Raw genomic sequence first — 20,783 nt, forward strand, 5'->3', positions numbered from 1 at the left:
ACTCCGGGTTCAGTGGTCTGTGGCCAGGCTCCGGCCCAAGGTCGAGGATTCCCTCCTTTTCCTTCCCAGTATTGTCCAGTATCCTGCAGGGCTCCTGTCTCCAGCCACGAGGGCGGGGCAACGCCGCCCGCCATGGGCACCCTCCTGCTGCTGTGGGCGCCACGGCAACCTTGCCAGCATCACCACCATGACCTTGCTAGTGTCACCACCATAACCTTGCCAGCGTCACCACCATCGGGCACATGCCCTGACTCCTTGTGGAGGATGAACATGAAGCCTGGGCAAGAGCAGGTCCCTTTTGATCCCCAGCTCTCTGCCTCATTCTGTTGTGAATGGTTGCAGTCTCAGAGGTGATAGCACCCTCTCCGTGTTCAGCAGCACCTTAGCCCCCACTTCTGGCTTTGCCTAGACAGCATGTGTCTCGTAGGATACCCAAGAATCCTTGCTTAGGAACACTGCAGCCTCGCTCCAGTGCCTTTTCAAATAAAAAGAGGCTTTCTCCCTTGCAATCCTTCCTCCAGACTGGGTTTTGTCCTAAACATAGACTTAATCACGTTGCTTTGATTAAAAATCTTCCATGACTTCCATTACCCATAGGACAAAGTCCAGATATCCCAGGGTAGCCTATCTGCCCCTCCACAAGCTATTCCCAGTACCCCTCCTGCCTTCAGCCCTACTCACCCTGCCCTCGGTGTGTCCAGCAGAGCTCCTCCGGCCCCATGAGGGGCTCCAGTCTCCTCTGTGAGACCTCTCCCAATTTCCCAGAAAATTATCATTTTCATTAACGATGATGAGACGACATTCCTCATAGTGCCCTCTGGACCATCGTGTCTCCCCTATTTCCCCCTTTAGGTTGTGAGCTCCTGGACTCCGGCCCAGCATGGGGTTGAGCACATAGGAGGTTTTTGAGAAATATTTGTTGGCCAGTGATCTGTGAGATAAGAATGCAAAGGCTTTCAGTTTCATTCAATGAGCATTCTTTGAACACTGGCAGGAGGCAGGGGTGATATAAAGATGGATGAGAGATGAATGAGTGAGGAACAAAGTATATCATGTGTGAGTCATGACCTGAGTTTCACTGAGGTGCAGCAGAGCCCAGAGGAGGCTGTCAGCAGCATCCCAGGAGGATGTTGCAAAACTGATTCCTGTTTATGGACGTGGAGGGTGAAGGAGGTGTTCATGGGGCATCACCCAGGGTGTAGTCTGATATTAACTTGCATGTAAGTAGGCAACCTCTTCTTTTAAACATCAAAAATCACTTAAAAGGATTATCTCTGTCATTTCTATTATAGGGGAATTACTTTGCTCAGATAATGAAATTGCTTGTTTCTTAAGAGTTTAACTCAATTGTGCTGAGAGAATGGGGCAATGGGGTGATTTGGGAGATGAAGGCATTGTATAGGAAGGAAGCCCGAGACACCTCTCCCCACAAATCTTCTCCTCAGGGACACAGCGATAGGTACGGACTTGGATTATTAAAAGTATGTGTTTCTCCAAGTGTATAGAACACCAGTCTCTGCAGAGGGGTTCTGGGTATTTGGTGGGAAAAAGCACTGAGGCCAAACACATTGGACATGTTAGGCAGGCTTCCTTCTTGTAGAACCTCCACCAAGGCTATGGCGTATGCCCCCCATTCCAATCACATTTGAGCAAAGGGCCCCGTTTTTCCTCATAAACACACATTTTGGAAACGTTGTTGTGCTAAAAAGGAAAGAGCTTTCACAGCCAGAAGATAAGAGTAGACTCTTTCCAATTGCAGCACCCTCTGAGCCTAGTTCTCTCTACTGAAAAATGAGGCAAAATGCCCAGATGCCCTCACAGGCTGTGCCACCGTGTGTGTGACCGTGTGTGTGGCCATTCTGCAAAGGTGATATTTTATTCATGTGTGATTGCTGTACTCACACTTGGATAACAAGCCCCTGTGTTCAGACAATTTATTTACTGCCTCCTTCGTCTTTAGAAGAGCACTGGGTTGTCAACGAACCTCAACTATCACAGCCAGCAGAGTGAATGGGCATTACTAGAGAGGCTAGGGAGAAAAAGAGTGTGAAGTGATCGTTTTGGGTCTTGGCATCATGACTGTCTTTGCTTAGGAGACAGCCAAGCGTGGGACATGTGATCTGGTGATGTGGCGGATCTGATTCTGCATCCAGCCAGCCAGTGCTGAGCTCAGGCCCTGCCGCCAGTGGTGAAGCTCTTGCAGTGAAGGACATGCACGGTCTCCAGCCTCCTTGGGTTGCTGTCCAGTGTGGCAGACAGACTTATCAAATCAGCAAAACCAGGGACTGGCACATGTTTTCTGTGGAGGGCCAAGCAGTAGAGACTTGAGACTTGGTGGGCTTCCTGGTCCCTGTTGTAACCGCCCAGCTCTGCGTTGCATGGGGGTGCAAAAGCATCTGTACCACATGTAAGTGCAGGAGAGGCTGAGCTCCAACAAAATTTTATTTTCAGAAAGGGATGGAGGGTGGCTTTAGACTGCAGGCTGTAGTTTGTTGACCCATGATCAAAACAATAAATATACAATGGAAGAAGAGATGTGTGGTATATTCAGAGCATATGAAGGGGAATTTAATAAATCTGACTTGAGATTTGAAAGATGAGAAGAAATTCAGTAAAGCAGGGAGAACAGGGCGCTGTAGGTAGACGGGGGTGCTGGAGCGTGGTCTGAGATGGAGCCAGGAGGAGGAGGAGGGACCTGCCCTGCTGGTCGGAGTCTGCTCTGAGACCCAGGGACCGTGCGTTCTGCAGGGAAGCTGGCGCATGCCCTTAGGTTCTGCAGCTGTGTGGGCTGCGCTGCCTTCGGGGGCACGTGACGCCACGTGGGAAGTGCTGTGAGGCTGGTGCGGAGAGCAAACCTCCTGCAACTCTTAGCGAGTAAATGGGCACATCCACACTGGAGTTGAACACAGGGGCGCCGGCCACGGGTTCAGGCTAGCCCGGGCGTCTGGCTTCCCTGCCAGGATGGCTGCCTCGTTACTGAGATGGAACACACAACACAGCCGCGTGGGCAGTGGGAGGCTGCGAGGTTAGCCTGGCAAAGCTGTGTCCAAGGAGGCAAAGATTGGTCCGCAGCTCAGAGGAGAAGCCTGAGTGGAAACTATAAATCTGAGTCATTTTGAAGCCTTGGGAATGGATCTGTACTCAAAGAAGGTATGGAGCCATGCTCAGCAAATGCTGCCTGCTTTTGTCAATAAAGTTTTATTGGAACTCTCCTTTGCTTGCACGATGGCTGTCTGAGGCTGCCATTGTGGGCAGCTGCAAGAAGGCCCTTTAAGATTGGCCATCTGACCCCCATAGACAAGGCGTGCTGACCCTTGGCACACCAGAGTGGGGAAAGAAAGGCGACTCCAGGCCAATCCTAGAAGTGCCCCAAGTTTAATGTGCGAGGGGAGGATCCTGAGCTTCCAGGGGCCCTGCCTGGGAGTGACTGGCAAGAAGGTCTGCTTTGGACATAAAAGGCAAGAGAGTTGAGCATTTTAAGGAAGGTGTGGTCACAGTGTCAGAGCTGTGGGGAGGTCCAAGAGAGGTGAGGACAGAACAGCCATCCGTTAAGTCCAGTGCAGAGGCCAATGGGGCCCTAAGGTCATGAGAGTCTGTGCCCCTGGCTTCTACTCAAACAGTGGGATGTTTCATTAGAGGGACGGGCAGAAGCCAGGGGCACTGATCCTCATGACCTCATGACCCACAGGCCCCACATCCTAGAACCATCACACTGCAGGGTAGGATTTCAACACATAAATTTTGGGGGGACATATTCAGTCCATGAAACTTCATTCCTAGTCCCCCAATCTTCATGTTCTCAAGTGCAAAATACATTAATTCCATCCCACAACCTCAAACATCCTAACTCATTCCAGCATTGACTTTGAAGTTTAAATCCAAAGTCTCATCTAAATATCAGACATGGGTGAGATTACAGGTACGATGGCTCCTGAGGCTGATTTCCCTCCAGCTGGGAGCCCATGAAACCAGACAAATTATGTGCTTCCAATGTGCAATGGCGGGATAGGCCTAGGACAGACAATCCCATTCCAAAAGGAAGAAATAGGGAAGAAAGAGGGGTGAAGGGTCCCAAGCAAGTCCAAAACCAGGCAAGGCTTGAGAATAATCCGTTTTGGCTCCATGCTCTGCCCTCCACACCCCCTGCAGGTTGGGGGGAGGTTCACACCTTCTGGACCCATTGGGGTAGCAATATCACCTCCATAAGGGTTGAAGGAAAATAGAAAGGAGAGAACTAGAGGACACAGAATGGAAAGGACTGAGCAACATAGCCAGTGGCAAAAGAAGTACTGCAAACATGATGCAAAGGAAAAGTTTTGCCTTGACTCTCTATAAGCCCCACCATAGCTCCAAGGTTCTCAGTGAAATCTGTCACTGCCATGTGTGTATGTGTGTATGTGTGCATGTGTGTATGAATCAAGGAAATATTTGACCAGTGTATTAAGTAGAGAAGAAGAATTCAGGGCAGGCAGGAAGGAGACAGAACGACCTTGAGAAGTTCCAGGGGATGTATTTTCAGAAAGTCTTGGGAGACCACTGGCTTCCTTCCAGAGGACATAGGATAGAGGTAGGACACAATATTACCTAGATCGTAAGGCGTGGAGAGGCCCAGCGAACATCTGGACTGCCATAGCTGAGATGTGGGGGCCTAACGATGTTTTCGTACTTTTTAATTGTTATTGCTGTCTCCCCTGTCTTGGGTGCAGGCTTCCTTATGATGGAAACCTGGTCTGGGTTGCTCACCACTGAACCTCCTCACACCTGGAGCCGTGCCTAGCACAAGGAGCTTACGTATCCTCAGAAGAGAAGAAACAGAGACGATTGCTGTCTTCATTTTAGAGACAAAGAACCCGAGGCGTAGAGAGCCAGGTGAGTAAGTGAAGGATCCAGACTCCTACTTGATAATTTTTTTTGCTTCTAATCCTCATGCTGTGTGGCCCAGGTGGGTCCCACTGTCTTGGGCATCTCCATTGTGTGGCTGTGTCCCCTGCCCTGCAAGGCCCCCTTTTATGTTCTGTGCAGGCCCTCTGACCTCCTGTTTTATGGTGGCTCTGACTCTAGTGTCTAGCTGAGGAGACTTTACCACTTCTGGAACGCACCCCTCATCCTCTTCACTGACCCTGTCTTCATCCTCGCTTAAGTTCTCACTCATCCTATGGTTTTAGGTGTACACTCAGTTATGTGGGCATGGTTGACACGACATGAACTGAAATGTCACCCCAGTATGGCTAGCTCTAATCCCTGCCTCTACTCTTGATTCTTATTAGAAAATTGCTTTTGACATACATGTTTAAAAGGTGGCATGAATGGCCAAGTGTGAATGGGTGTAGTGGGAGTTTGGGGCAGAGCCCCTCATCTCAGAGTGTTGCCCTTTTGTGGGAATCACAGTCATCAGCAGTAGCCTGTGTAGGAGAGTGACAAGAAGAAAGGCCTTGCCTAAGGATTACTTGGAATATAAAAGGTGCTATTATTTACCTTGTTTATGGAGTTGGTTAAAAATCCTCAATGGCTCTACTCTTTAGAAGCCAAAGTCTAAATTCTAATCTGGTTTGCAAGCTCAGCTTTCCATCAGGCTTACCCCCAACCCAGCTTCCTCCTTGTGGGATCGCTGGTGGGAGTTATTGTGTGCTGCTGGTGGCTGTGCAGAGGGACCTGGTCCATTAACCAAATCAAATGCAAGACCACCTGGGACTCAGCAGTGGGCTCTGTGGACATCCTCAGGCAGGTCCTGGAGGTGATGTGTGTGAGGATGTTCATCACGGTGTTCTGTTGGGGATGTGGACTTGGGGCATCCTGGATGCTGGTCTCTGAGGCCTGGATGAGTGGAAAATGGTGTGCTCAGACCATGGAAAATGTGTCCTGTGAAGGACTCGGTGTGCACATAGAGACTGGGACAGTCTTAAAAACATAGCACTTGGCTAAAAAAAATAGGCAACAAACAAGATGAAATACACAATCATTTACATCAATCAAAAATACATGCACACAAGATCATAAAACACACTTTGTAAGAACGCATTCAAATAAGAAGAAATGCATCATAAAGACACTGCCTTTGAAGGGGAAGGGAATGAGAGTGGTATATGGGACACAATGGAATTTAAAAATCTCAGCAAAAGGGTCCTTGCATCAGCCGTTGATGACAATGCGCTGAGAACTAAGGAGTATGAGGAACTCCCTCATCCACAGCGGATGTTTAAAAATCCAGCAGGGCTTTTCTCTTCAAAAGTCTAATCCTTATAACAAGTAGTGGAGAGGATGTGGAGAAATTGGAAACCCTGCACACGGTGCAAATGTAAAATGGCATAGCTGCTGTAGAAAAGAGTAGGGAGGTTCCTTAGAAATTAAAAATAGAATTAGCCTGTGATCCAGCAAGTCCATTTCTGATATGGACCCAAAAGAAATGAAAGCAGGATCTCAAAGAGGTATGTGCGCACCCATGTGCATAGCATCACTACTCATGATAGCCAGAAGGTGGAAACAGCCTACATGTCCATCGACAGATGAATGGATGAAGAAAATGCGGCATGTACATACAGGGGAATATGGCTCAGCCTTGAAAAGGAAGGAAATGCTGACGCGTGCTACAACTTGGATGAACTGTGAGGACATATGCTAAGTGAAATAAGCCAGTCATAAGGACAAATACTGCATAATTCCACTTCCAGGAGGTACCAAGAATAGCCAAACTCATAGAGGCAGAAAGTAGAATGGTGGGTGCCCAGGGCAGAGAAGAAAGGGAAAGGGGAGTTATTGTTTAATGGATACAGAGTTTCAGTTTTGCAAAATGAAATGAGCTCTGGAGATGGCTGGTGGTGATGGTGGCCCAACGCTTTGCATATGCTTGGCACTACTGGACTGCACACTTAACAATGGTTAAGAGGGTAAGTTGTATGTTATGTATATTTTACCACAACGGAAAAATGAGGCAAAGATGGCATCCTTGATAGGCATAGTGGTCTGGAGAATGGTCTGTGGTCCCGTGCCCACTTGCTCTGCAGACCTGATCCTCTCCATAGCACCCTCCTCTCTCCAACTCCCACCTGCTCCCCATCCCAGGCTGGGGACAGTGACCCTGTTCCTCTCTAGGTGTCTGCACATGCTGTTCCCTTGCCAAAAGATACTCGTTCTGCTCTCATTGCTTGAGTAGCTCAGCTGTCTCAATTCTACTTCCATGGTCTGGCTTGCCTTGATTCCCAAGCATGATTAGCTTTCTCTCCTCAGCTCTCATAATAGCCTCTGTCCCCACAGAGCGTGCAGATGGCCCCCTTCCCCTCCCTCGCCTCGGGGTAATGGGACCCTCCACAGGCCTCAGCCATGTGTGCTGGCACCCATGGACGTCGACAGGCATCCTCTGTTGAGGGATGTCTTATTTTCTAAGGAAGCCCAAACAGTTAGCTGCTCAGGATAGTAATAATCTTGCTTTCCGATAAATTTCAGAAGTAAGAACATAATTTTGATGATTTTGTTTTAACTGGGAATTCTTTTCGAAACCTGCCTCCCTGGCTGGCTGGCTCCTCTGTGTTTGCACACGTGCCTCTGTGCGGGTGGCACCTGCCCTATTTGTGCTCTTCGTTGTTTGCTACTGGGATCAGTGGCTTACGACGAACAGCCCATGGCCCTGGGGCCTCCTGCACTGCCGTCTCCTGGGAGAAAGGCCGCTCTCACAGCCAGCCATGTGCACATCATCCCATTGGTACCCACAGATGGCACTGGCCCCTTCCTTCAAACCCGGGCCAAGCTCCAAACACAGACTGTCTTTGGAAGGAGGGTAAAGTGTTGAAAGGAAGAACAGATTCAAATGAAGCATGTGTCCCACCTGGGAGCTGCGGCTCTGGCTTGGCCCTCTTGGACCCCTTGTTTTGGGGCCCATGCCCTACCCTGTCCTCTGAGGGGCTCCTGGTTTGGGTGGCTCTGAGGGTACATTCCTACTTCCAGGCTGGGTACTGATCGTGTGTTGTGGGTGCCTTTGCTCCTGAGTCCACACAGCTGGTGTGTCCCCAGGGACACAGGTGCCTGTGCTCAGCAGAGCTGGAATGCCATTCAGAAGGCTGTGGGGTCAGGATCCTTGCCTCCCAGGGGGCACCTTAGCCAGCACCCATACTTTTCTAGTGTCGGGCTCCATGCCCCACCTGCCCCGTGCCTCTCCTGAGAGGTGAGACAGACAGCCTCCCACACTGCCCATGTCCTCCCGTCACCCGTGGTAGCCCTGGTGGCTGGGGACCCGGGACCACAGCTCTGGCCAGCACTTGGGTCTGCCCTGTTGGGTGGGCAGTGGCAGGGCCTGGACGGGGCCTCCATGCAGAGGACACGGCAGGCTCGCCTACACTTTCATAACCACACAGAGCTATGAAAGGTTCTGTCCCAGGGCTCCTGCGCAAGGCCGGCTGCCCAGCCTGGCTAATTTGTGTCCTTTCCTGAACACACAGTTCACCGAGGATCGCCAGGCTTGGCAGTCTTTGAAAGAAGACTTTCTTTCCATTTTGGCAACTCTCTCTTTAAAGACACTGCATTCTTTTTATTGGATGGGAAATAATTTCACAAGTAACGCATTTACTTTAGTAATAGGCCCCCGCCCGTCCTCCCACCCTCCACCTCCCACCAATTGAGTTTCTCTCTTATCGAGTTTTTTTTTTTTTTCTTGGCCTCTGGTGTTAATTGTCACGAGGTCAAAGTATAAACTCTCTAGAGGATCCCAGCGTTGTAAGGACTTGACTGGAGATCAGAAACAAATTGCAGTGAAGCAAAAACATCAGGGCCACAGTGCCGAAAGCTGTGAGCCTCCCAAACGGCCGTCGTGTGTGCCGCGCTCGGCCGTCTGGCGCCTGCGTGGCTTGGCTTGGCAGCCTCTTACTCAAGCTTTGTTTTCCTTGGGGGGCGGGAGCGGGGGAGGGGGTGGAGGGTGAACCAAGGAAGGAGGGAGGGCAGGACTGAAGGAGTTCAGTTGCCCTTTGCCTTGTGATTTATATCTGGTGGAGGAGCCCTGTTCCGCTTCTTCTAGCTGGAATGCTGGGACATGCTGTTTCAATATGAGACAATCAGCTGGGCCCTCTGTGGAATGTCCCTGGAGACTGCAAACTGCCTCCCAACAGGGTCATTTGTTCAGTAGGATTCTAAGTCGCATTCTCCAACATCTGCATTCTATTAATACCTTCAGAATATTTCCATCAGCTCTGGGAAATCAGGAGATGCCTTGAGAGATGTTCGGCACCAAATCCTGGAGGCTTTTAACAAATATTATTCTTGTGATGCTTCTGTGTTTTTATGGGAAGAACCACCCCCTGCCCCCACAACTCCATCTTGTCCTTTTTCCTTTACTGTCGTGCAGGTGGATGTTCACGTCCACCCAGTGAGATCCAGGGCGAAATGTGTTGGGCGGACCTGCGGTTGACAGGGATCCACAGCAGAAGGTGAATTTGTAAACACATGAGGCAGAGATGGCTGCAGATAGACACTGCAGGGCACTTGCCTAAGGCCAGTTGGGGAAAGGCTGTGCTGGAGGGGCCCTGGGCCAGGGCCAGCTTCCCAGTCCACATGGGGCTCTGTTGTGTCCTTCGAGGGCACCATGGCCTGGTCTTTGGGGACAGGAAGGAAGAAAGATGGGGAGGGAGGAGGGGAGAGAAGGAAAGCTCTGAAGAGAGGGGTGCACTGAGGTGATGGAAGTGAGGAGGATTTCATTAAAGAAAAATAAAATAGGTGTAATACCTCGAGCAAATAGAAATGAAGCTCCCATCAGTAGAACGGCCGTGGTGAGAATGCAAACCTGAGATGCAGCTGCGGCCTCAGAGGGGGTGGCCCAGCATATTTGACCCTGTGAGGAATTGGCCACATGGAGATATTAGTGGGGTGTCGTCAGGGTGGAGGGTTTCTTGGGAAAGACAAGGGAGAGGAGAGGGAAACCGCGATCCCAAGGACATGCATTTAATGCAAGGGACACTCAGCCATGTTTCACTATGTGCAGACACCAGGCCAGATGCCCTGTAAGGTGGATCCCGACATGAGGGGAAGGCCCATCAGAAGGAAGACACCAGGGACATGGGTCTGCCCTGCGAGTTCCGCTGTCCCCTCACAGGGGAGGTCCCAGCATGCCCAGCCCCGCCTAAGGGAAGCAGAATGCGCATCCACCGACAGGACCAGGCCCACCTCTTCCTGGCCGCGGCAGCCCCTTAAACCCGTGTCAGAGCAGATGCTGAGTGAGGCCAGAAATGTTCATTTGGTCATTATCTTAAAAGACTACAAAGTAAGTCTCCACATGTACTTCATCGCTTAAAATTCTAGTGTGTAGGGTGAGATGGGCAAATGATAAGTCTTGATAAAAATTATGGAGCAGTTTTCTTGGAAATTCAAAGGAAAGCCAGAGTCTGCTAAGGCCTTGGATGGTGATGAATTGCTTCCTGGTCATGATCTCCTCTGCCTGCTGGAGGCCCAGGGCTGGATGATGCTGGGGGAGAGGCTCGCTGGACAGAGGGAACCAGCATGTGCCACCTAATGCGTCTCGGGCCCAGTAATCTGCTGTCCCTCTGCCCCAGGGAGGGGTCTGTGGGGCACACTCTGCCTGCTCCTGGGCCCCTGCAGGGTCGCCCTCCCCAGCCTGCAGGCCCCATAATCTGAATCACAGCCTCCTATCCCTCTGCTCTGTGAGCAGAGGCTTCAGAAGGGCAGTCATGCATGTCTTGGCTTTATATCTTCTTTCCCTTTGTCAAAATTATGCAAAATCTCCAGGAAAACAAATAATCAGTTACAACAAATAACCGGAGTCAGATCTCTGGCTCAGGAAATTCCTGGGCTCACATGTTTGCTCGGAAGAGGTTCCCACAGCCCGGCCGTTATTTTTTATCTATCCCCGCAGGATGTCCTCCTCCTCTCGCCTCCAGGGTCCCCTGCTTCCTGTCCGCATTCCCACAGCTGCCGAGGCCACAGCTCCAGTGCGCGAGGAGGGTCCTCAGTGTCTGCCCGGGCTGGTAGCTCTGTGCAGAAACGTGGCAGATGTGCAGCATCAGGAATCAAAACAGTGTTCCCACCACGCAGCACATTCTTCCTCCCCAGTCCCGTTCATTTCCTCTCCACGGGATGTGGAGCAATTTCCCTCATCTGTTGCTCACTCAGTGGATTTGGCATTTTGTGAATTTTACAATGATACTTAGATTCCTCCCGAATCTGTTCCAAGAGGAAAAAAAAAAAACCAACAAAAAAAAACCAGAATTGATGATTCGGTCACAGACTCTGTTTCTGCTTGAGGCGTTTCTGGTTTTGTGTGAGACGCAGGTGAAACCAGGGAGCAGAGGAAGGAGATAGGCGACCACATGGGGTCTTGAGTCTTGGCATCCCAAGAATGCCCTGATGAGCTGGGGTCCTCTGTTTCTGGAGAAAACATGAAAAGTCTGCAAGATAAAAGAAGAAATCAAAAGGCAGTTTCTGTTCATAGTGTGCTGGACGAATTCCATGCAGCACTACTGCAATATTGCCTTGGCACAGAGGGTGCTCTGGTGGGAGGTGGAAAGAGGGCATGCACTCAGTATGTGACCGCCGTCCTCCGGAGACTGTGGAAAATAGCCCACTGCAGCAGCTTCCTCCTGTACTCCCAGGCTCTGCACGGCCCCCTTGGCTCAAACTCTTTGTTTTCCTCTTCCATTAGCAACCGGGAAGGCAAACTCACATTCGCCGCTCCTCACGGGGAGCCGGCCCCTTTTGATGTCATCCCATTTGATTCTCACAACACCAGTGTAAGCAGCATTATGCCCATTTTATGGATGAGGAAACTGGGCTCAGAAAGAATTTATGTTGGTTTTTTTTTTTCTTTGGCTTCTTGCTGCTTGAGAGAAATGGGCTGTTTTTCAGGGACTCTCATTCTTGCTACCTGATTTCCCCCTTGGTCCCAGCAGTACAGTGGGTTTCACAGATGCTGTCCCAGGGGAGCATGGCTCCCCCAGTGTCTGCACACACTAGGTGCCAATCATGTGTTGAAGGGAGCCAAAGCCCCAATCTGTGTTCTTTGTGCAAAGGTGGAATGGGCAGGAAGCGCCTAGCAGCTTTGCTCTGTGACCTTTCAGTTTTGTGTGTGTTCAGATATTCCCACCAGCTCATGGGTCTGTTCGCCTTACACTGGGGGTGGAAAAGGTTATTGACTCTTTTTGCACTCCTAAGGCAAGTCTATGAAATACTTTTCTTTTTCTGCCCTGCTTAGAAGGCCTGGATTTCTGCATCTCAACCCCATGGGTGCCACTGGGCGAGGCTGGCTGCCTGGGAGCCGGTTTCAGTGTGGCAATGGTCCTGCAGGAACCTATTAATAGCCTTTATTTCCAGTATGTGCCCTGTAAAGCCAAGCCTCATTTTTAGCAGCTCCGTTACTCACAATTCTAGGAAAAGTTTCCTTTGAATGTCTTCCTGCCAGAGGACTGGCGGTTCAACTCCCTCCACCTCTTAGGGAAGAGGAGAGAAGAGGAGCCCAAAGACAGACAGTGGGGACCCGTCCTTTACAGCAGCTGCTCACACTCTAGCTCTTCCTGAAGAGGCACCACCTTTGTTCAGAGAGCTGCCTGGATGGGCTTCCTGGAGGAGGAGGGCAGGATGATGCTTGGCCACCCGAAGCTGAAGTCATGCTTGACTCATCTCTTCCTTCCATGCTGCTCTCCCAGTGCATCACACATTCGATCAGCTTCCCCTTCAAAGTACGTGCAGAAGCCAGCCTTTCTCACCACATCCAGCTCTGCCTAGCTCCCCAGGCTGCCATCATTTCTCACTGGCCTCCCTGCAAGCCCCCGGCCTGGTCTCCCCTTCCCTCAGCTCACACCTTGTATCTCTGAAAACTGACAGAGGGCTCTTACAGCATGTCACGCTCAGCTCAACTGCTGCTAGCCACTCTCTGTCTCATGCTGAGCAAGAGGCAGTCTCCAGTAGCCTGTGTGCCTGATGGCCTGGGTCCTTCCTGCCTCTTTGCCCTATTCCTTGCTCCTTCCCTTCCTATGCCAACCACCCTACCCCTGTCCTGTGCTGCCACTGTCCCTGCCTCTATGTTTCGCACATGCTATCTCCCCCATCTGGAACGCTCTTCCTCCAGGAAACATCCTGGCTCTGCACTGATGTCCCCTTATCCAGGAAGTCTTCCAGGACTGCAACTCTCAGCCCTGGCAACACCAATGCCCCTGCTCTTTCACTTCTGTCCTTTGCCTCATCGTGACCTAGTAGACAAGCCACCTGTCTGCTGCCTGGCTCCCACCACTGTGAGGAAGCCCCAGCAGTACCCTCTCGGGATATGTGCTTGCTGTGTTTGCTCAAGGAACGAGGGCTGAGCTAGGTCGACATGACATAGCCAAACTGCTTTGCACTGGGGATGAACAGCACTTTGCCAATGATGGGGAGAGGCAAGAGGGCGGAGGAGAGGGGTGGCACATTCAGAGGGGCTATGGCCTGGGTGCAGCTGTGCCTGCTGGCTTGGAAACAGGCTTGTCCCAGGCAGAGCTTTATGGTATGATATGACTGCCTCCTCTCCTCACCTGAATATGTCTTTGAGTTTCTTTTTTTTTCTTGATGGTCAATAATTAAGAGGACTGAGTCACACTGTGTGCTGATCACTAAATAGTTCACACTCATGGGAGCCAGAGGCAGGAGAATATGAGCCGCTCACCTCAGGTGAGTCTCTGAAATCTTAGTGAGAGTGTTGGCCATGCACAAAACATGGAGACTGGATGCTAATCAGTCTTGCGTAGACTTAAGGTAGGTGACCTCTGCTTACCCCTAGATATACTCATGAACGCCTTAGGTACCTTTTACTAGAAGAGCCACAGCTGATGCTCAGAACAGAAGGAAGAGAACAGAGGGAAGTGTGGAGTCAGGAACTCGGTGTTCCTGTTGGAGGAACCTCAGGGAGGGAGGCAGCCGCATTATACGTCAGCATCAACTGCCAAATTGTGGAACAGAACATTGAAGGAAACTTCGCAGCATCTTGCCAGCTCGTCCTCTGGCTTGGGCTGGTGGAGGAGGCTAAAACCATAGCTGCCTGTCTGTCTTTGTCCCTGCTCTAGTGCTGGCAGGGTGGGACAGCCTCCACACTCTTCCCCAAATGGAATGCATGGGAGACTGAGGCACGAAGGATTACTCTTCATGACAAAGCAAGGCAGTGCTTCTGGAGAAGGGTTCTCTCTGCCAAGACATCACATTCTCTTTACAAGCAGCTAAAAATGATAAACATTACAACTTCTAAAAAAATACTCAGAACTTGGTACTTCTACTCAGTGCACCTGGTTTTCTTTCTAGAGTATCAAAGAACAAGCTTGTTCCCTCTTTTACTAATACTTTTGTTGAAAATCTGTTGGGGCAGCTCAAACTCTCTGGCCAGCAGAGCAGATTACTATTAGATTGTAAGAATAAATAATATAAAATCTATGGTGAGAACCGACGACTCCCTGTGTGCCCAGACGATACTCCGCCATTTCCTCCTAGGCTGGTGGGTTTCTGAGGTTGGCTCCATTGCAGCTGGAGAGGCTCTGAGGTTAAATCACTGTGGGTTGCCCAACGTTAGAAAGGCACCCATGTGGGAAGAAAGGGCTGAGGACCGTCCAAGTACTAGCACAGCCCCAGACATGGAAATACTACTCACATACTGAAGGAGGAAACCCTCCCAGCCACATCAGTGTGTGGGGTGTGGGGACGGCATGGCACCAGAAGTCTCTGAGGCTGGCACTCTTGTCTCTACTTCTGTCTTGCCTGCCTGAAGCCAGATAGTGATATCAAGCCATCCAGCTTTTCTGTGAATAACTTAATGCTAATGGCCCTGTCTTCCCCAACAGTGCTGGCCACTGTTGCACTCTGCATTGCCCCAGGGTTGTGAGAGCGTAAAAGACCTTCTACCCAGTTTGGACTCCCCTCTGCCTTCACCTCCCTTTAACTCCTGTGGTGTTCCTTGGGCCCCTCAGTCTAAGTAAGGTTGATAAATGTCAGCAGCTCAGCTTACTTCTACTCGGATCAGTATAGAGAAATCAAGGTGAGAAGCAGGTGGCCCTGGGGCAGATAGAGGAGCCTGGGTGGTTGCTGAGAGCCCCAAGGGCCAGATCTGGGGCTCAGAGGACACTGCGGGCTCTCTCGGATGCCCGCCAGGGACTCCTGGCAGGATCATTAGTCTAGCAGGCAAGTAATGAGTTTCAAATGACAAGGAACAATAGAAAGGAGGCCTTTTGGTGTCCCCCTTTCAACTCCTCCCTTTCTTTTTCACCCTCCTTTCCAGAAACAAATAAAAACTAGAAATAGCTGAAAGCCCACACTTAAATTCCTCCAGGGCCAGCTTCTCAGGCTGAGCGTTGCCTGCTCTTGGAGGAGTTGGGATGGCTGTGCATGGCATTTGTGAGGGTTCCTGTGATTTCTGTGTTTTCTCCCCGTGAGGGGTCCAGGGCCCAGGGTGGCAGTGGACAGCTGCAGGGATGGTGCTGGGGCATGCAGGAGCTGACAGTGGTGGCTGAGCCCCTTTTCAGGGGGTCTCTGACAGATGCCTGCTGAAACACTGAGGCTACTCCTACCCCCGACAGCTCTCAGCTAACAAGTGGTTGGAATGAAAATTGTACAGCCTCTATGGAAAACAGTAGACAGATTTCTCAATACAACTGCTTTTTGTGTGTTAATTTTATACCCTGCTGTAGTCCCAGCTACTCGGGAGGCTGAGGCAGGAGAATGGCGTGAACCCGGGAAGCGGAGCTTGCAGTGAGCCGAGATTGCGCCACTGCAGTCCGCAGTCCGGCCTGGGCGACAGAGCGAGACTCCGTCTCAAAAAAAAAAAAAAAAAAATTTTTATACCCTGCAAATTTGTTGAATTCACTTATTAGATCTAGTAGCTTTCTTAAGAATTCTTTGGTATTTTCTACATACAGAATGTATATGTAGAACTACCATTTGATCCAGCAGCCCCACTACTGAGTATCTACTCAGAGGAAAATAAATCATTATGTCAGAAAGACACCTGCACTGGTGTGTTTATCACAGCACTCTTTACACCAGCAAAGGTACAGAGTCAACTTCAGTGTGTCCAACTTTGGACAAAGAAAGCGTGGTATATACACACAATGGAATACTATTCAGCCATAAAAAGAATGAAATCATGTTTTTTGCAGCAACATGGATTGAACTGGAGGCCATTAGCTTAAGTGAAACAAGTCAGTCAAATATCAAGTGTTCTCACTCATAAGTGGGTGCTCACTAATGTGTACACATGCAGGTACACATTAGACACTGCAGATGGGGAAGGATGGGAGGGTGGAGTGAGGGATGAGAAATTACTTAGTAAGTACAACCTTCACTGTTAGGGTGATGTTTTCCCTAAAAGTCTGGACTTCACCACTGTGCAGTATATCCATGTAACAAATCTGCGCTTGTATCCCTTAAATTTATGTCAAAAAAAGGTGATTTAACAGGAGACCTATGATGAAGTAAGACGTGGATCATGGCTAAACATGAGTGCCTTTTGCCTCCCCTTGCTCTCTGTTTTCCCATTTTAGAACCCAGTGAGAGGAGTCCCCTCTTCTGCACAGTGCTGTCTTTTGCTGAAGGGACCCAAAGCTGTTGCTGGAATCAGATGGGGCACCAAGGACTACTGTTAACAGGGCCCTAATGAATCTCTGAGTGCTGGCTGAGAGAGGAGTTGCCTGGGATTTGGTTATATAGCCAACCTGACTTTCTCGTGAGAGCCGATTTGTTGTTAAGTTACCTGGGCCCTCTGTGCTGGTCTCCTCTCCTTCCCACCTTCAGAGCAGTTGGATACTTGGGTTCAAGAGCCAGAGGGACACAGCTTCGGATCCTGACATGGTTCTTGTTCTGCTTTCATTATTTAATTCACCTCCTCAGGCTTCAGTTTCCTCGTCCATCTCCTGGGCCTCATACCAGCACCCGCCCCACGGAGGAGCTCTGAGTGCTGAGTGAGACAGTTGCTGTAACATATTTGGTACAGTCTAGGCTCACAGTAAAGATTCAATAAATATTGGTTCTAGCCTATCTTGGGGACTGGAACCTAAATCAACTTCCAAAAATCTGAAGACTGACAAGTAGATTTTGAGGCACAAAGAAAAATCATAGTTAGAATTTTTCAGCTTTTCCTCAGTGTAGAACAAAGGGAGGAATTGCCAAATAAAATACCAGTTATCCAGAATCATAATGAATGGACTCTTCCAGGAAAGTGATTTTTTTGGATGGTGGAGATTTTAACCCTTTGTAATAGAGGCATTTAAATGTGACAATCTTTTTGAAATATACTTTCCAATTTCCTGCAGTCTTACGCAAAGTTTCCAGGACATAATTCATCCATTTTCTCCTGTCCCAGGTTGTCATTGTCTACATCAATTTTACTGTGCTGTGTTTTAGCTGGAGATGGTGCAGGAAAGAAGGCTTTCTGCTAGTGCGACAGGTCTCTGTGCTTTTCTGTGTAGTGAATGTCTGCCTCACTGCTCTGAGCTGCTGGGGGTGTGGGGTGCTTGTGCCCGCTCCTGAGAGTTCTTTGTTCTCCTCCTGGCTGGCTCTAACACCTCAGTGCCACACACAACAGAGGGTGCCTTGTACGTGTGTCTAAAAACGATAGGGGCGCTTGTTTAGACCATTGGGGGCCTTCTCCTGGGCTTGGGAATGTTGCAGTCACTTGGGAGGTGTTAGAATACAGGCCTTGGGCCACTGAGGTTTTACTTTCTCTTCTTGCTTCACTGTTGACCTTGTATTTCCCAGTTTTTTTTTTTTTTTTTTTTTTTTTGAGACAAAGTCTTGCACTGTCACCTGGGCTGGAGTGCAATGGCATGATCTTGGCTCACTGCAACCTCCACCTCCCGGGTTCAGGTGATTCTCCTGCCTCAGCCTCCCGAGCAGCTGGGAGGCTGCTCGTGCCCACCACCACGCCTGGCTAATGTTTTGTATTTTTAGTAGAGACAGGGTTTCAACCTGCTGGTTTCAGACTCCTGACCTCATGATCCATCTGCCTCGGCCTTCCAAAGTGCTGGGACTACAGGCATGAGCCACTGGGCCTGGCCATTTCCCAGTTTTATTTTACTTTTTATCTTTCTTCACAAACACTTAGGGGGGCCTAAACCTTCACTCCTGATGGGTCTCAGGGTCTTTGTTGGATGGGTGGACTGTCTGCAGGTCTGCCCTTGGCTGAGGAGGAACTGGAAGTGGAGAAATAAAGTCGGGACTGAAAGTGTTTCTACATCCAAAGTTTCCATGGCTGATGGCAGTAGTTCTGCAGGTAGGAAATGCAGTGACATTTGCCTGCCCTCCCCGTTGAGAGATGGAGCCAACCCTCAGAAGCTCAGATGCTTATTCGAAATACATGCTTTGAAGGAGAGTCAGGGTAGACCTGGGTCAGGTGATTCCTCATCCAGCGCCTTCTGTTCCCCTGCAGTTCCGGGGATAGAGCCCATGTTCAACTGCGAGGAATGTGCAGAAAAATTTATAAGAATAGCAACAATGGTTTGTGCTTAAAATGAGATCACACATGTAATTATTGCAGTTTCTGCATGTGTTTGATTTTCTATCTTTAGGATTGCCCAAATAGCAACTTTTAATTAAATATCAAATTCCAAATAGTCCAAGTATGAATAAAACCCTCATGTAAAAACAAGAAGCTTTGCCAGGAAAACACACACACAGACACACAGACGGCCCTCTTTCCAAGGTTCCTCTTCTCTTGCAGTTAGAGCCCTGTGTATGCCACAGCTGGGTTCTTGGACCCCACCAGCTCTCCATAACTGAGAGTGTTATGCAGGCCACGTGCATGCAAGATCACAAAAGCCCATCCTGTCTCCATTTTGCTTTTCAAAACACAGCACGGCACACAAGCTTGTTTTGCAAAGATTGATTGGTGAAATTCCAAATTTACCACTAGTGGTATCTAAACGAGGGCCCGGCCTGGTTTGGAGGAAGCAGGTCAGTTGTGAAGAGCCTGGCACCTCCCCCGGAAGAGCTCAGGCCTTCTTCGTGAAGCTTCTACCCAGCCTGAACTTGCTTCCTTGTGACACGTGACATGACACATTGCTGTGGCCTGGAGAAGGGTGCAGTGGTCTTGTTTCATTCTCTGTGAATGGGTTGGGAGTAGCCCCGGCCGAGGCTGGCACACAGTGACACCTGGTAAATGGCGCTGCTTTCTGTTTGCTGTGATCGCTGTGAGGCCTGCGTTCCTTCACCGCTCATGCTGCCCTCCAGGCCTGATGAAGTGAGGCCCTGAGATGGGCAGGCAGCTGTGGACATGGAAAGAGCTGGGACATTTCAGACATCCTTTGAAGGAGCTGGTGACTTGGGTTGGGTAGAAAGGATAAATTGGAGATAAGTTGCGAAGGCAGGACATGAGGCTATGATGCTGCCAAGACATCTAGGAGGGCTCCCCGCTGGTGCTGGAGGGGAGATGGGGTGCCTGGAGCACGAGGGTACTGACCCACTGTGTGCTCCCTGTGGGAACAGGATATGGCTGGCAGGAGCCCCGGCAGGTGGGACAGATGCAGGACACACCTGCCCCAAGCCAGAGTGGGATTGCAGCCACCCTGGCCTGAGTTTCCAGGGCTGACCCAGCTGACCACAGGCCTGGTGCTCAATTTCCTGCACTCCCAAACTCGGCTGCATTCCTGGGAGCTGTGCAAGCCCTGGGAATGGTTTCTCCACCTCCTGCCTGCCTTCACCTTCTCCTTCCTGGGCCCAGGTCACCTTTCTCACTGTTTCCCCTGCCCTCGAGGACTACTCAACATGTTCTAGGAGACGAATGGAGTGGCGTTTGAACCACAACAAGGTCTTGCTCCCTCAGCCTCCTTGGACCAGGATTCCCATCAGTCTCTGGTCCGTCTCTGGTCAAGCATGGACGACCCCAACGTCCGCAGAGGCCAGCCTGCTCTGTGGCTAAATGGCTCTGTCATATTTGCAGAATGATTTTCTGTGTGTTTTACTTAGTGGCTTCCCCCCTGCATGTTAGAGTATTTATAGAGAAACAGAAGCCTTATGGGTCCTTTCTATCTCAATATGGAAGTAGCTGAGAAAGAAGGACTGCAGCTGAAAGGCAGCAGATTAAAACTTCTAGACCCAGGGTGGATGAATGGCCGGATTCTTTTTATAATTTCCCAAGCTCAGTAATGAATGAAAGATAAACAAATAGTGGTGCAAATAGTGAAAACCAAATTAGATTTGAGGTTTCTCCCCCCTCCAAGTTCATAATAAGTAATCCAAACAGTTATCATTCGGGGGGGTGAGGAAGTGATACTGTAAAAATAAATGCGTTTCTCCGACTAGCATCCTTTGTCCTTGTGTGTTCTTGCAGTGTGAGAAGGGCTTGCTGCCCGCGGCTCCACTGCAGAGTTCGGCAGTCACCAAGAAACGACTCCCCAAGAAGCAAGGAAAGCATTAGTTAAATGGGAAAGGAGATCATTTCAGGCCTGGGGTCCCCTGTGAGGAAGGGAAACTTGGGAAAGTGTAAGACACTCTGTGTTCTTAGAAGCTGGAAACCTGTATCCAAAACCACCCCCAGGGTTTTGATTTTATAAGCTCTTTTGAAAGTGAAGAATGAATTTGTTTTTACGTTTTACTCATTTATTTTTGAGGAGAATGACTTTTTAAAATGAAGAGTCAGGATGACAGTGGTTCCAAGTCAAGTTCCAAATTGTGGCAGGTCCTTACTTAGTATGACCCGCAAGAAAGAACCAACATGAGGTGGGCAGCTTTGAAAAGGGACACAACCTTGGGGCTGGGTTTTGCTTTCACCTCCCTCTGCCTCCTGCTACTTGGCTCAGTGTCCAGGCCAGGAAATGGCCCGGATGGTTCCTCAGGCTCTGTGTTCCAGA

At 49.9% G+C, this 20,783-nt stretch overlaps 1 long non-coding RNA gene across 3 annotated transcripts in view, besides 4 other annotated features; it reads left to right on the top strand.

The window, feature by feature from the left end:
• Positions 1–20,783, top strand: part of LOC105375821 (uncharacterized) — a 127,805-nt gene that overhangs the window by 72,857 nt on the left and 34,165 nt on the right. For all 3 annotated transcript variants that reach the window (XR_001745891.1, XR_001745893.1, XR_001745892.1), the window contains one exon: positions 4,707–4,869. This is a non-coding gene — a long non-coding RNA (uncharacterized LOC105375821). The remainder of the gene's footprint in view (positions 1–4,706; positions 4,870–20,783) is intronic.
• Positions 9,544–10,055: an enhancer, noted in NCBI's record as "H3K4me1 hESC enhancer chr8:49341750-49342261 (GRCh37/hg19 assembly coordinates)". NCBI's record gives its function as "activates a minimal SCP1, AML or CMV promoter by ChIP-STARR-seq in naive H9 embryonic stem cells {active_cell/tissue: H9 hESC(naive)}" and the evidence as "EXISTENCE:reporter gene assay evidence [ECO:0000049][PMID:30033119]".
• Positions 10,056–10,568: an enhancer, noted in NCBI's record as "H3K4me1 hESC enhancer chr8:49342262-49342774 (GRCh37/hg19 assembly coordinates)". NCBI's record gives its function as "activates a minimal SCP1, AML or CMV promoter by ChIP-STARR-seq in naive H9 embryonic stem cells {active_cell/tissue: H9 hESC(naive)}" and the evidence as "EXISTENCE:reporter gene assay evidence [ECO:0000049][PMID:30033119]".
• Positions 10,569–11,079: an enhancer, noted in NCBI's record as "H3K4me1 hESC enhancer chr8:49342775-49343285 (GRCh37/hg19 assembly coordinates)". NCBI's record gives its function as "activates a minimal SCP1, AML or CMV promoter by ChIP-STARR-seq in naive and primed H9 embryonic stem cells {active_cell/tissue: H9 hESC(naive and primed)}" and the evidence as "EXISTENCE:reporter gene assay evidence [ECO:0000049][PMID:30033119]".
• Positions 15,113–15,612: an enhancer, noted in NCBI's record as "H3K4me1 hESC enhancer chr8:49347319-49347818 (GRCh37/hg19 assembly coordinates)". NCBI's record gives its function as "activates a minimal SCP1, AML or CMV promoter by ChIP-STARR-seq in naive H9 embryonic stem cells {active_cell/tissue: H9 hESC(naive)}" and the evidence as "EXISTENCE:reporter gene assay evidence [ECO:0000049][PMID:30033119]".

This window comes from Homo sapiens, chromosome 8, assembly GCF_000001405.40.
Source record: "Homo sapiens chromosome 8, GRCh38.p14 Primary Assembly".
NCBI classification, from domain to species: Eukaryota; Metazoa; Chordata; class Mammalia; order Primates; family Hominidae; genus Homo; species Homo sapiens.